General features: G+C 39.4%; 1 protein-coding gene across 11 annotated transcripts in view, besides 1 other annotated feature; it reads right to left on the reverse strand.

Moving 5' to 3' along the window:
* PARD3 (par-3 family cell polarity regulator) overlaps nt 1-15,626 on the reverse strand; it is a 705,736-nt gene that overhangs the window by 422,743 nt on the left and 267,367 nt on the right. The window lies entirely within an intron of this gene.
* Nucleotides 7,577-7,866: an enhancer, noted in NCBI's record as "active region_3254". NCBI's record gives its function as "activates an Ori minimal core promoter by ATAC-STARR-seq in GM12878 lymphoblastoid cells {active_cell/tissue: GM12878}" and the evidence as "EXISTENCE:reporter gene assay evidence [ECO:0000049][PMID:35858748]".

A 15,626-nucleotide genomic window follows, 5' to 3' on the forward strand; every position in this document is an offset into this window, starting at 1 on the left:
AAAATTTTTCCAATATACTTACTGAAAAAGATCCATGCATATGTACACCCAAGCAGTTCAAACACAAGTTGTTCAAGGGTCAACTATACTTTTTAACTATTATTTCTGAGTAGACAACTTTGCACCAGCTTATAAGGCTGGGCTCATCACGTGTTTTCTTTATATTTATTCTTTTGTTCACACCATGTGCCCGCTATGTGCCACATGGTGTGAACTGTGTGAAGTGCTGCTTATAGAACACTTTGTTAATCTAATAAAGCTACAAATGAACTTTCTCCATAAAAACATGCACAGAGTTGTTTCGTTCTGGATATACTTTCGGCAGATTCATAGATCCTTGTTCTATGAGAAATTAGAAGAAAAAGTACATTTTCTAACATTCACTTAAATATCAATGAGCATTTCCTCAATTCTATGACATCACTCTGACACTACAAAGTTACATATTAGCAGAGTGTGAATTTCTTCTGAATATCTTCTAACTCTATTTTTACACTGAAAGATCTCTTCCAGTTGTTCTACTCCATTTTTCTACTTTATGATACAGTCATGTCACTTAACAACAGGGATACATTCTGGTTAGGTGATTTCATTGTTGTGTGAACATCATAGAGTATATTACATAAACCTGGAGGTATACCCTATTACACACCTAAGCTATTATGTTACAGCCTATTTGCTCCTAGGATACAAACCTGTACAAGATGTCACTGTACTGAATGCCCTATGCAACTGAAACACAATGGTAAGTATTTGTATATCTAAACGTATCTAACCAAAGAAAAAGTACAATAAGAATATGGGATTATAATCTTATGGGACCATCATCCTATATGCAATGCAATATTGACCAAAATATTGTTATTCAGTAAATGACCATATAAATGTACGAAGGCAGAACCTAAAAGTAAACAATGTTTTAAGTACACCTGGACATAAAGATGGGAACAATAGACACTGAACACTACTAGAAGAGGGAGGAAGGGAAAAGGACATGCGCTGAAGAACTACCTACTGGGTACTATGCTCACTACCTGGATTGCGGGATCATCCATACCCCAAACCTCAACATAACGCAATATATCCATGCAACAAACCTGCACATATATCTCCTGAATCCAAAATAAAAGTTGAAAATATTTTTTTAAAAAAGCAATATTCAATCACTCTATATCAACTATAAGAGAATTATAACATGAGAATACCAAAAATATGATTGCAGGCAGGGTGCGGTGGCTCACACCTATAATCCCAGAACTTTGGGGGACCAAGGCAGGCAGATCACTTGAGCTCAGGAGTTTGTGACCAGCCCGGACAACATGGTGAAACCCCATCTCTACTAAAAAATACAAAAATCAGCCAGGCATGGTGACACATGCCTGTAATCCCAGCTACTCAGGAGGCTGAGAGAAGAATCGCTTGAACCTGGGAGGCGGAGGTTACAGTGAGCCAAGATCGCACCACTGCACTCCAGCCTGGGTGACAGAGCAAGACTCCATCTAAAAAAACAACAAAAAAAAACAGACTATTGACCCAAAAGTACACTGTTACTCCTTGGATTAACACCATTTGCCCTAAACATCTACATCCACTAGAAATGGCAAAACAGTCCTTTGCAATTCTATCTGTTGGCAAAAATATTTCAGCTCTAGAAAGCATTCAGTACGTCGGCAAGAGATAATAAACACCCCCATTTCCATGAAAGGCTGCACTTCAATTTCCACATAGCCAACGGGTTAACTTTTGGAGGCAGGTCTACTTGTAAGGCAACAAGTATCAGTGTGAGGAGGTCTTAAGACCCAGAAGGAAAAAATTAGCCGGGCATGGTGGCGGGCGCCTGTAGTCCCAGCTACTCGGGAGGCTGAGGCAGGAGAATGGCATGAACCTGGGAGGCAGAGCTTGCAGTGAGCAGAGATTGTGCCACTGCACTCCAGCCTGGGTGACAGAGCGAGACTCCATCTCAAAAAAAAAAAAAGACCCAGAAGGAATGTGAATGCTGTGGAAATGCAGACAGGAGGAGTCTGTCTGGGTCAAGTCAATGGAAAGAGGTGAGTTCCACTCCAAAGGACGGGCGTGCCTCTCAGGCTGAAGAGCGGCAGGAGAAATTTGAGGGGGCAGCCCTGGAGGTCAGAAGACAAAGATTCAAATCCACACATTTTCACTGACTAGTGGGTGACATTGAATGGGTCACATGAGCTCTCAGTGCCTCAGTTTCTGTTCGTCTAATAAATGAAGAGGGCTACAATGCCAACCACAGGAAGTTGCCATAAACTTCTGAGGTCATTATGAGCAAATGTGCCTGTATATGCAGACAGTGAACAAAATCACAGGCACAAAGCAAGTGAGCCCAAGGTCCAGCGGCTGCAGAACAGTAGGGACGGTGGTTGATGTTGTTGTTGCTATCATTAGTATCATCCTAATTTAGGGCCAGGCATGGTGGCTCACACCTGTAATCCTAGCACTTTGGGAGGCCGAGGTTGGGGGATCACTTGAGGTCAGGAATTCAAGACTAGCCTGGCCAACATGGCAAAACCATGTCTCTACTAAAAAATACAAAAATTAGCCAAGCATGATGGTGCATGCCTGTAATCTCAGCTTCTCAGGAGGCTGAGGCAGGGGAATTGCTTGAACCTGGGAGGCAGAGGTTACAGTGGGCCAAGATCATGCCACTGCACTCTAGCCTGGGTGACAGAGCAAGACCTTGTCTCAAAAAATGAATCATCCTATTTTGTCTATTTTGCAGACAAATTGTAGTCCTGAGCAGGATACCCAGGGTTTAAGAATAATATTAAGTGCAACAAAAAAATTATGTAACAATCTACATAAAACTCTGTATAAGTAGCTGCTTTGAATATTCCTACGTTTTAATCCCCATATGTCTTGAGGAAGTATATTGGCATGGGTAGAAGCAGGAAGAGATTAGGAGAATGGAAAGAAGAAATTCTTCTAACACATTAGCAAAAAGTGTTAAGTATTGGGGAAAAGATCAAAGGGCTTATCGCCATCAGAGAACGCTGTCTTGGTGTGCCTGAAAATCCCCCATCTAAGACACAAAGGGAAACAGGGAAGTCAAAACGGATACCAGACAGTTCATGCAATGAGACGAGAGTATTTCAGCATCTTCCATGACGAAGAACAGTAACACAAATTAAAACAGAGCAATATTAAAGTAAGATATGTTTTGGGGTTTTGTTTCTTTTTTTGAGATAGTCTCACTCTGTCGCCCAGGCTGGAGTGCAGTGGCGCAATCTTAGCTCACTGCAACCTCCATCTCCCAGGCTCAAGTGATTCTCCTGCCTCAGCTGGGATTACAGGCGTGCACCATTACCACCTGGCTAATTTTTGTATTTTTAGTAGAGACAGGGTTTCACCATGTTGGCCAGGCTGGTCTTCAACTCCTGACATCAGGTGGTCCACCAGCCTCAGCCTTCCAAAGTGCTGGGATTACAGGCGTGAGCCACCCTGCCTGGCCAAGACAGTTTTAAATTAATGTTTAACCCACAATTATCTTTAAAAAAAAAAAAATAGTTAGGCTTTAAAAAGCCAAATCTGATTATAATTAACTCCATGTCAATGCTCAAAATTTTGTTGGTACAAAAATGCTTTTCCTTCAAAGACAGTAAACTTACTGGACAAACACCCGAGCTGGTTTTTAGTAATAAATCTAGTCAGTACTGTTATTAATAGTGTTGTTAAAAAAAACTGAGAACGAGAGTGTATTCTGTCAATCAAGAGCTGATAAAACATTCCAAAAATAATCCCAAGTTCTTCACCACTGATTCATCACCAATTCAAAACTCTCGTTGAAAGACTTTGGTGTCTCTCCCACCATTCACCTTGACCTCTACTCAACACCTACGCTTCCACACATTGGAGCCACTTGTAGGACTTCAGTATAACAAAAAAAAAATTTTTAATATTCTAATAGTTTTACTCACTCCCTCAAATATGCATATAAAAAGTACTTAAATCATTTAATGTTGTTATATCTTCAAATCTACAGTGACTACAGTGACTTCACTGAACAGAAGAAAATTTGGAGAAAAACTAAGTCTCCATTAATAATCACCCCAAACATCTATGAAAGAAGTAACAGTGCTAGCAGTACTGCTTTACAATACCAACATGTTTCAAAGACTGTAAACAACATGTCAAGTATCCAAGTGGGAAAAGGCCTAAGCTCTTATCTTTAATCTCTCAGTTTTCTAAAAACACTATTTAAAACCTATATAAAGATATTACAAGGAAACACTATTTAAAACCTATATAAAGATATTACAAGTACTGAATCATTATTTCCCAAAAACCATCACGTTTTCTTGTAGAAGGTCCTGAAAACATCTCACAATCTTTAGTGTGGACAGTGTCCACACCAGAATACAATCACCAGTGTGAAGTCTTGAATTATGGTTCTCACCATTCTTGGTTGAACCTTTACAGTGGTACCTCCTGTCCCTTTGGGTTGGCACAGTGGCCTTGACTCATCACCCTGCTCTTCTAAGCAGAAGTCAACACAGTCAACACCTTGGATGGGACATAATTAATTTAAAACATTAAATTTTTGATATTCATGACCAAAAGACTGAAAGAAAAAGTGATGAGGCCCCTAGGTGGGTAACTGAGCGAAAGAAAAATTAGGGCTTCAGTGATAAACTTAATTGGGGTCAAAGTTAGAAATATAACAGGAAGCAACTTCTAAGTTTTGTTTTTCTGTTAAGACACAAGGTCTTGCTCTGTCATCCTGGCTGTAGTGCAATGGGTGTAACTAAGCTCACTGCAACCTCAAACTCCTGGACTCAAACGATCCTCTCACCTCAGCCTCCAGAGTAGCTTTGACTACAGGTGCGTGTCACCACACCTGGCTTATGTTTTAATTTTCTGTAGAGACAGGGTCTCAATGTATTGCCTAGGCTGATCTCAAAATTCCTGACTTCAGGTGATCCTCCCACCTTGGCCTCCCAAAGCACTGGGATGAGCCACCACGTCTGGCCCGTATTCTAACTTTTTGATTCCTTCTCTTGAAGACCTAGTCAATTCTGAATTGAGTTATATTCTGGGTAAAGAAAATTAAAAACAAAATGAAAAAACAATTTCTGGTGAAGAATGAGAGAGCCAATGACACAGAAGGAAATAAGAGCAGTACTACAAAAGGAGCAACCAGGATGCATCTGCCAAAGCCAAGGAGACAATGGGTGTTCACAGATTCGAAGTCCAACCAACCCAGACCTTGACTACACTGGGGTCCACACTTCCCACTAACAACTTTATCTCTGCAACCACAGAAATTACTGGAAATGTCTTAATGCCCCAAGAACTGGAAGCCACTCTGACAATAAAATCACTTTCATACACCAGTCCCCACAGACCATGGTAATAAGGAGACATGACAGCAAATACAAAGAAAAGCCATTGCTTAGACATCTAAAATCAGTTATGTCTTTCAATACCAGTCCAAGAAAGAGAAACAGAAACTCAAACACTGACCACATTAGTGTTTATGGTGAAACACAACTCTGATTAGACAATTAACATCCAGGCTGCCTAAAACTAAAAGCAAGCTTCATAAACAAACCACTAATAAGCTGTTGCTTCTTCTTTGGAAAGAGAAGGTTATTTATAAATTGCTGCCACCTAAAAACTGACCTGATTCAGTACTGTCAGACAGCGAAGTACACTTAGGCAAGTGGCAAATGACAAGGGAAAAAAATCACCTCACAAAGTGTGACACTTCATCCTAAGTGTAATAAATGAACAAAACAGAATATTGCACAAGACTGTGAATTGTTTAGCCGAGATCCGCCACTGCACTCCAGCCTGGGTGACAAGAGCGAGACTCCGTCTCAAAAATAAATAAATAAATAAAATGTAATCTTTATAGTTTCCCACTCATAAAAAGTAATACTGAAGAAAAACCTCTGAATTCGGTAAGTTAGGGTTCCTAGCATCAAATATTCCATGTGAGATCTTAAAAACAACAGGAACATCAAGAAATCAGAGCACCTAGCACGTATGACCACTCTGGGAGACACTGGCTCAACTGCCTCTGTCCCTAATGCAAATTTACCAGCTGAAATCCTTCAGAGATACATTCGCTGATAAACAGGCTACAATAGGTGTAGAAAGATGTGGGTAATGACTGACTAGATTGCAACCTGTCTGAATCATAGAAATTGAAAGAAAATAAGCTTTGCCAAGACACAGAAGCCAAGATTTCAAGCACTTTGGGACATGCAGTTCCACTGCTGGGATGTTTATTCAGAGGTGGCTGTAAGTTTCACTTCACTCTTTCAAGTATGTGCTCGGGGGCTGCACACCAACCGAGGGAGTGAAAAGAAAAATCAGATCAATCTTGCATGAAGCACTTGGTGAGGAGTGGAGGCCAGACGAGCTGGGCAGAAAGAATGAAGTACAGGAAGAGTCACCGGGACAGGAGCCTTCTAGGAAGAAGAGGCTGCAGAAACGCAGGGGTGAGGCGCCGCTCCGGCAGGGCACCAATGATCCAAGTAGGAGATCATGCTGAGTTTCTTCTCCTTCTCATTGTGAGAAAGCAAACACACAGTTTCTTCTAGACCTGGAACACCAACCGTGACTTGCAAACACAATGACACAGATTCATGATGCCTTGTCCACAATTCCAAAATCAAATGACTCTCAAAATGAAAAATTTTTCATAAGTTTGTTAGAAGTACATTTGGTGGCAAAAGCAACTCTGAACCAATCCAAGATTATTTGTAGTATTTATTTACTTGGTGAATATTCACATTTTGCTACAGAAATACCAAAATTTTGACTACAGGGTCCTGCCTCAGACATCACAGGAGGTGTTACATCTTATGACACATATTCCATATTACCTGCCTAAAATCTGAACAACTCAGTATTCTAACATCCAGCCATAATGATTTTAGGTAAAGTATTGTGGTGCTCCCAGATGCTGGAGCCAGTGAAGACTAGCTCATGAGGACTCTTAAGTTTTCAGGAATTTTGCAAGCCAGTTATTACCACCTTCATCATTTAAAAATTAAGATATATAAACTTACAGTTAAATAAATTAAAAAGCAGAGTAATAAATAAGTAAAACTCAGCCAGGCGCAGTGGCTCACGCCTGTATTTCCAGCACTTTGGGAAGCCAAGGCGGGCAGATCACCTAAGGTCAGGAGTTTGAGACCAACATGGCAAAACCCCCTCTCTACTAAAAATACAAAAATTAGCCAGGTGTGGTGGCGGGCACCTGTAATCCCAGCTACTCTGAAGGCTTAGGCAGGGAGAATCGCTTGAACCTGGGAGGCAGAGGTTGCAGTGAGCCGAGATCACGACACTGCACTCCAGTTTCGGTGACACAGCGAGACTCCGTCTCAAAAAGAAAGTAAAACTTCCTATCATCTGTGTTGCATTTTACTACTCTGTGTGGCCTTGGATTGTCCTAGGTCTGCTGTATCTACACAGTGGAAACACTATGTAAAAGTGTATGATGGTGTGTTTTCCAACTCCACACTCAGGGACATCCCATTGGCTTCCTGAAATAGGCCAGGGCGGGAGTGTGTACACCAAAGAAATTGGCAAACACTACAAATCAGTCCCCACTCCTTCAGCCTCAGCTGAGAGTGGTTGTGAAACATTTTACTAACACACTGTCACTTTAAGCTCTCTTGAAACCATACGCGACTACCTTCCAGATCTTCCTATTTCAAAAAGGAGTTCTAGAAAACCACACCAAGTGTGCAGGGCGGAATGGGGAGTCAGAGTCCCTGGAACAGAAGCCTCAGGAGCCACCGTGTCCTTTCCCAGGGTCGTGGCCCTCAGCTGCAGGCAGCTCTAAGGCTTCTTCATGCTGCCTGCCTCCTGCTTCCCAGGACATTCAATTACAGGTTATGCTGTCAAACAACAGCACGCATTAGAGCAGGATTGCTCTGCTGCATCCCCAGGACCTAGAACAGTGTCTTGCACATAGTAGGTACAGAGTAAATATCTATTCAGGGAATGAACAAATCCTCCAAAGCTCCCTGTGGTTCACAACACACTATATTAAAAAAAAAAAAAATGCCAAACATAGTATCTGCTATACCTCGTGTTCTAGCATGAGAATTCATGGAAGGAAGGAAGGTGGATGGCGGGGAGACTACTCCAGTATAAATACAAAGATATAAGTATACAATGTTTCCTTTACTTGGCCAGGCATTGTGGCTCACACCTGTAATCCCAGGACTTAGGGAGGCTGAGCTGCCCGCTCAGCAGATGGCTTGGGCCCGGGAGACAGGAGACCAGTCTGGACAATACAGCAAGATACTGTCTCTACAAAAACAAACAAACAAACAAAAATAGAAATATTAGCCAGGCGTGGTGGCCATTTGCCTGTAGTCTCAACTAGTCGAAAGACTGAGGTGGGAAGATCACCTGAGCCTGGGAAGCTCGAGGCTACAGTGAGCCATGACCATGCCACTGTGTTCCAGACTGGGCAACAGAGTGAGATCCTGTCTCGGAGGGGACCGGGGGTGTAATCTTTTTACTTTCTGATTTAAATAAGTTATTTTTATTGAGTCTGGAATCTATTACTTGCAATATTGTTTCCATGAGAAAATAAAGTTCCAAGTAACAGATTTTACAATGAAGTTTTAGAACAATGACCCATTTCTGAATTGGAGACATCAAGCTTAAGTATATAGTCACCATAGCAACTTTTTCAAGATCCAGCATCCTTAATTTAAGATATAAGTAAAATTTTAAAGCAAAAACAAAAAGCCATTCAAAAAATTAAATAATAAAAATATTCCATAAAGCCATACCATGAAATGCAATATAGAAAATTGTGACTGATTTTTAGAAGACAAAGCCACGTTTCTTTTCCTATCTTTTTAATGAGGCACATGGAGGATGGTTTATTTATTCCCTAGGGAGAAACCTTCATCCTGTACATAAATGCAGTATAACTGATATTTCACACATGGTATTTGTATAAGAAACACAAATGCAAAGAGAAGGGAAGAACTTCCAGTGTGCTTAAGAACTGAGAACTATAAATGTTTCCTTTAGAGAAATGAAAATTTAAATCTCTCGAATCTGCAGTATGAGACACATAAAGCCATCTGCCCCAAGATACAATCTATATTCCTGAAGGGACAACAAAACTCTCTCATTCTATATGAATCTTCTGTATATGAATTCTGAATTCATAGGCAGCCTTCCATCTCAACCTTGTACAAAACCCTGAAGCCCAAGAAGGCACAACCTTTTCATGCTAACAGCACAACCTTTGTCTCCTGCTCATGTTTAGACCACACCTCAGAGAATCTGCCTTGTGTGTGATGTGTCAGATTATAGGGAGGAGGCCCCTGGGAAGTGCTGGTGCCTAAACTGCAGCTAATTTTTAAGTGTCCACAAATGCAGTGTCCACATCCAAGGAAAACAACATTTATTTAACAACTTTCATTAAAATTAAGCCAATATTATATGTATTCATCAGTACACATCCCATCCACAGAGAACCCAGAATAAGCAGTATTCTTTAATCTTGGTATGCCTCGCTGTAAGCAAACCCACATAGAGTCAAAACAGCTCATCTTTAACCCACATACGTTTTTTGGGTGGGAAGGTGGGACAGGGTCTCACTCTGTGGCCCAGGCTGGAGTGCAGTGGCATGATCATGGCTCCCTGCAGCCTTGAAGTCCTGGGCTCAAGCAGTCCTCCAGCCTCAGCCTCCCGAGTAGCTGAGACACAGGCAAGCAACACCGCCCCTGGCCTATGCACATTTTAAAGTGAAGACTAACTGTCACAGGAACCACCCTATTCAGAAAAATATCCTCACAAACATTTTTAAAGAAAATGATATGGAATGAATAGAATGGAACAAAATAAAATAGGAAATATCAATGTACACTTACAAAGCAGTAAGGTTGTTTGGGGTGTGTGTGTGTGTGTGTGTGTGTGTGTGTGTGTGTGCACACACACACACGCTTGCATTTACCCACTGGGCTGCCAAGTGAAATGTATTTTTTACTCTAGCGTAGTGATTCTCAATGAGGGGCAATTTTGCCCCCAGGGGACACTGGCAGTGTGTGAGACATATTTGGTTGTCATAACTGGGGTCAATATTATTGACCTCTAAACAGTATAGGTCAGGGAAACTGCAAAACATCCTCAATACACAGGACAGTCCCACACAACAAAGAATAATCCAGTCCAAAATGTCATTTATGCAGATGCTGAGAAACCCCATTATAGGAGACAACCAAAAAGTTAAAGGCCACTAACTGACCCTATACTTCATCCCATCTGGTGATCACTCCTGTAGAACATATATGGATTTATATGTGCATTGCCTTAAGCAAAATCTGATAATATTTACAAAGTAAGTGTAACAGTAGCCTCTTAATGGGCATTGTTAAAACATGGTTACAAATAATTTTCTTCTGATTATAAAATATCATAGGTGCTCATTGCAGAGAACTGTAAAACTAAAAAAAAGCATAAAGCATTGTGTCATACAATTTTAAAAAGATGGAACAAGGCATCATCATTTATACATCACTTACCAGAAAATGATACATTCCTGTGATCTACATATTGTGAATAAATTCACTATTTTCCAGAATTTTTGTTTAAACGTCACTATTTTCACACAAGAACTTTAATGATAAGACAATTCTCACTCAGGCCATGAGAACATGCTCAAGAGTTAGATGTTAGGATTGACTTAAAAAATTCTAAGATGATATGAAAGTGTCCAAATAACTCAACATTTATTTGCATCCATGAACTTGGTTTGGATCCATAAGGAATATTCTGACTTTTTTTAAAGGCTTTTTTTTTTCCAATTTAGGGGAAAAAAAAGCAATTAGCCAGACATCAGGGTCCCAGCTACTCAGGAGGCTGAGGTGGGAGGAACCCTGGAGCCTAGAAGGTTGAGGCTACCATGAGCCATAATCGTCCCACTGCACTCTAGCCTGGGCGTCAGAGCAAAACCCTGTCTCCAAAAAATAAAAATTAAAAAACAAAGGATTTTCTCATGTTTCTATTTAACATAAATAAAAGAATAACATTTTGCAAAATCCTAAAATATAAGCTAATAAATGAGAAGAGGACTGAAAACTGAAAAGAAGAAGAAAAAAAGACCAAACCATGAAAAGACAGAAATCTACTTGCTGTTCACCATGCATACTTCAATAAACCAAAACGCAACTTAAAGTTCTTGTTGAACTTTTCTTGTGCAACCTGTTCCCAGGCAAGGCCAATATAATGGAAAACCAGAGAGTGTGAAGAATGGAACATAAGCTCCTCTTTGCTTTTCAAACTATGGAAGATGTGCAACTATACAACAGAAGAACAAACTACAAAGTCTTAAGTTAGAGGTTTTGTCAAAAATATTTTTTTAAATCACAGTCTAAATGTTAGCCATTATATTTAAAAGAACCCTAATTACATTCCAAAGAAAAGTGGGTATGTGCACTGTCACTAATGAGATCTCAGGGCATGTGAATAATTTCAGAAGCAGCAGCCAGTATCCTAGGATGCCTTTTGTCATCATTTGCATTAAGCTGAAATTTTATCAGAAGGCCAATTAATAGTCAATGTAATAGCTTTGTGGAAAGAGCACTAAATTAAGTATGTCAACACCATATATTCGGTACCTGCTCCTGTCTGGCACTCATCAAGAAAATTACATTAGTGAAGCTTAATTCTCACAGATGATGGCAGATCACTGGCAACTCACAACAAGACTTGGTTGACAATTCTAGTTATCTTCAACATGTGGTAAAAATCATGACGTTAAAAGGAGCTCAGTTTCTGCAGATCTTTCACAGGGAGCTATAAAATAAATTTAAAAGGATCCTAGCCTAACTTTTCTTTTTGAATTCTGCATCTATTAACACTTAAAATTTTTGGAAAAAAATGTTTAAGTGAATAAAATTCACTAGAAACATAAGTAGTGTCCACATTCAAGGAAAATGTTTATTTAACAACTTTCATTAAAATTAAGCCAATATTATAGGTATATACTTAGATGCTATCAAAATCCTCAAAAATCTAAATCATTCTATTTCTGAAATAACTAGGTCATTCTAGCTCTAAATTTCCTTAATAATAAAAAACAATTCAAATTTAACTGCTTGGGGCATATGGCACTATATAATATCAAGTTTGCCCATCTTAAATGCTATTTACTCAGGGGGTTTAAAAAGAAAGGGTTACATAATGTATTGGCTCAAAATAACACCTGCCTTTATAATACATTAACCCAGAGTTTCTCAAAGTGTGGTCCCTCCCAGTAGCACCAGCATCACCTGGGAACTGTTAGAAATGTAAATATTCAGGCCCCATCAGTCCTGCTGAATCAGAAACTCTGGGGCTGGAGTCCAGAAATCTGTAATACCAACTCAAGTTTGGGAAACTCTGTCCTAACCTTATAGAGATGACAATTTGAGAATAAAGGACAAGAACAAAGAAAAACTACAGTATCTATGAAGACTTGCTGTACCAAGTGACATCCATAAATTCATTTTGTTTAATTCTTACAGTAATGTTAGGATGTAGTAACTATTATTCTCATTTACACTGGAGCACCTCTTGCTTAGTGAAGTTAAGCCATGAAGCAGAGACACTAAAAGGTAATATAAAGCCCACCACTAACCACTACTACAAGCCACAGGCAAGAACACTTTCTGCTCTCATAGTACCTGTATTGAGTTCGTGCACTCAATAAATTGCCAAAGAATTTAGGAAAAAAGGGGTTCTGTCAAGACATAATTTCAGTCTTCTATCACATGAGCTTCAAAACCCAACATGCATAATGCTGTTCCCTCTTCAAAAAATAGGAAGGGTGTTAATGGCTATTTGATTCCTCTTTCATCAGATTTTTATTTAATTACCTGACTCAACAATAACCTACAAAACCCACCTTACCTGATCTTTGCAACCTGATCACCTGTTCCAGCATCATGCAAATTTCCACAACTGGTTCATCTCAAACCAAAACTTCAACATTCCAAATCTAAAGAGCAAGGTCAGATGGTTAAGAACTTAACAGATAACCTGGGAGTAGAGTTTTCAAAGTAACATCTCCCTCAAACTCCGGTGTTAGGGCCAAACACCAGCACTGCCCCAAAGCACTTGTCAACAGATATAAACATTTGGACATGGTATCAGTAAGAAATTTGTTGACATGGACATTGACAGAAAAAATATTATAACTGCCTTACAAAAAAATCATTTAAAACACCCTTAAACATACAGAAGAGGAGACTAATTAAACAAACGACTTTATATCCTTTTTTTGAGATGGAGTCTCGCTCTGTCGCCCAGGCTGGAGTGCAATGGCACAATCTCGGCTCACTGCAATCTCCACCTCCCTGGTTCAAGCAATTCCCCTGCCTCAGCCTCTAGAGTAACTGGGATTACAGGTACCTGCCACGACGCCCGGCTAATTTTTTTTGTATTTTTATTAGAGACGGGGTTTCACCATGTTGGCCAGACTGGTCTCGAACTTCTGACCTCAGGCAATCTGCCCACCTCGGCTTCCCCAAGTGCTGGGATTACAGATGTGAGCCACTGCACCTGGCCTTTATAACCATTTTAATTAAAACCTATGTAGTTATTAAAATATATATCCATAGGCATAGAAAGGCAAAACTAGGCACCAAAACATTAACATAGTATATAAAATACTTAACACTGTAGAATTATAAGGGATGTATTTTCTGCTTTGCACTTGTTTTTCAATTGCTTGCGCTATAAGCATGTCTTTAACGTAAAAGTATACTTATAATAAAATGAAATTAGAAATACAATAAATAAAATATATGTTGTATACTTTTAAAACCTAACAAATTACCAACATATAGTAACTATTAATATTTTTTAAATGATGAAAAGTTGTCTTACATTTTGAAGTTAACACTCTTTTTTTTGAAGTTAACAGTTAAAATGTGGCAAATTTTAGGCCGGGCACAGTGGCTCACACCTGTAATCCCAGCACTTTGGGAGGCCGAGGTGGGTGAATCACAATGTCAGGGGTTCGAGACCAGTCTGTCCAACATAGTGAAACCCCGCCTCTACTAAAAATACAAAAAATTAGCCGGGCATGGTGGCTGGCACCTGTAAGCCTAGCTACTTGGGAGGCTGAGGTAGGAGAATCACTTGAACCCAGGAGGCAGAGGTTGCAGCGAGCCGAGACTGTACCACTGCACACCAGCCCGGGCAACAGTGCAAGACTCTGTCTCAAAAAAAAAAAAGTGGAATTTTGTTGTTGTTTTTTTTTGAGACCCGAGTCTCACTGTCACCCGGGCTGGCCTGGCAAATTTTAATTTAAATAACTACTGCAAAATACTGAATGTACTAGATGAATACACTTTTATACAAAGAAAAAAAAAGCACTTTGCAGATCATAGCAATTACCAATATCCACCTCATCAATAAGTTCCAGGGTTTCACTGGGTACAAATGTATAGTTTTAATTTTCATTGGAATTAACCGAACTGGCTTTCCTATTATTTCATAAATTTTTTTAGCTATTTAATGTATTCTTTAGGCTAAACACAATGAATGAGCACATTAGAATTTAGGACCATTCTAGAAGGACCCCTGACAGCCAGATAAAACACAGTTATTACTGTCAGAACACAAATGAAATAATCTGAAAAGACAAGGAATTGTTTAGCCCATCAAACACACAAAAGCAATACTTCTTAAATGTTTAGCTCACTCTAACAAGTTATTTTTTATAAACTTTAGTTTCTCAATGTTTGATAATAAGAACACAGAAATTTGCCTAGACCACAACGGCTGATGAAACTTAAACATTCATGCAAATTTATGGATTGTCTGACATTATTGAACAGTTCATCAAAAAGCTAGAGGGATACTCCCTTTGTCAGCCTGTGCCCATTAGCAGGTCAATTCAATGAACATTAGCAATTAACAGCAATTTACAAGAGGAAATACTTAAAAACTGGATTACTTACTGTGCTTAGTTTCTTACAGACATACAAGCATTTAAAAATAGAACACTGGGGTTTCAAAATCACATGCATAGCATTTTTTACAATACATTTTAAACATGAACAATATAAACAATCTGCCAGAATTATGCCACATCATTTTTCCCTTTGGGAAGGCTATAAATGTTACATATACCATATGTATTAAATAATTATGACTAGAGATAATCTTAGCACACATAAAATATGGGCATCATTGCCAAGAACTCGTCGAGATTTATTACGTTGAGTTATACAGCTCCTATGCTCTGTAAGGAAATGACATGTTTAACTTTAACATTACATAGAAAGGATCACTGAAGGCAGGGTAGTGGATAGTAAGTACTTGGGTGAGTTCCCGATAGGACAGGTTATCACTGAGTGCGCTTTCCTTTTCTTCCCATGCCATGACCTGACATCTATTGACCAAGTGGTGACTCCAATTAAAATGCTATTGCTTAATGATGACAAAAAATGCACTGCACAGATGGAAAAAAGAAAAAAACATATTTCAGGCAATGATGATGCTTAAAAAATTTAAGCATTAAATTAACCAGCAAATTCTGGCCCTACGTGTTGATAACTACTGAAAAAATAGCCTACATTATGAAGTGTTAACATAAAAAATTCCCCATGATGTCATAAATATTGTTGCAC

The sequence above is a fragment of the Homo sapiens genome, chromosome 10 (assembly GCF_000001405.40).
Source record: "Homo sapiens chromosome 10, GRCh38.p14 Primary Assembly".
Taxonomy (NCBI): domain Eukaryota; kingdom Metazoa; phylum Chordata; class Mammalia; order Primates; family Hominidae; genus Homo; species Homo sapiens.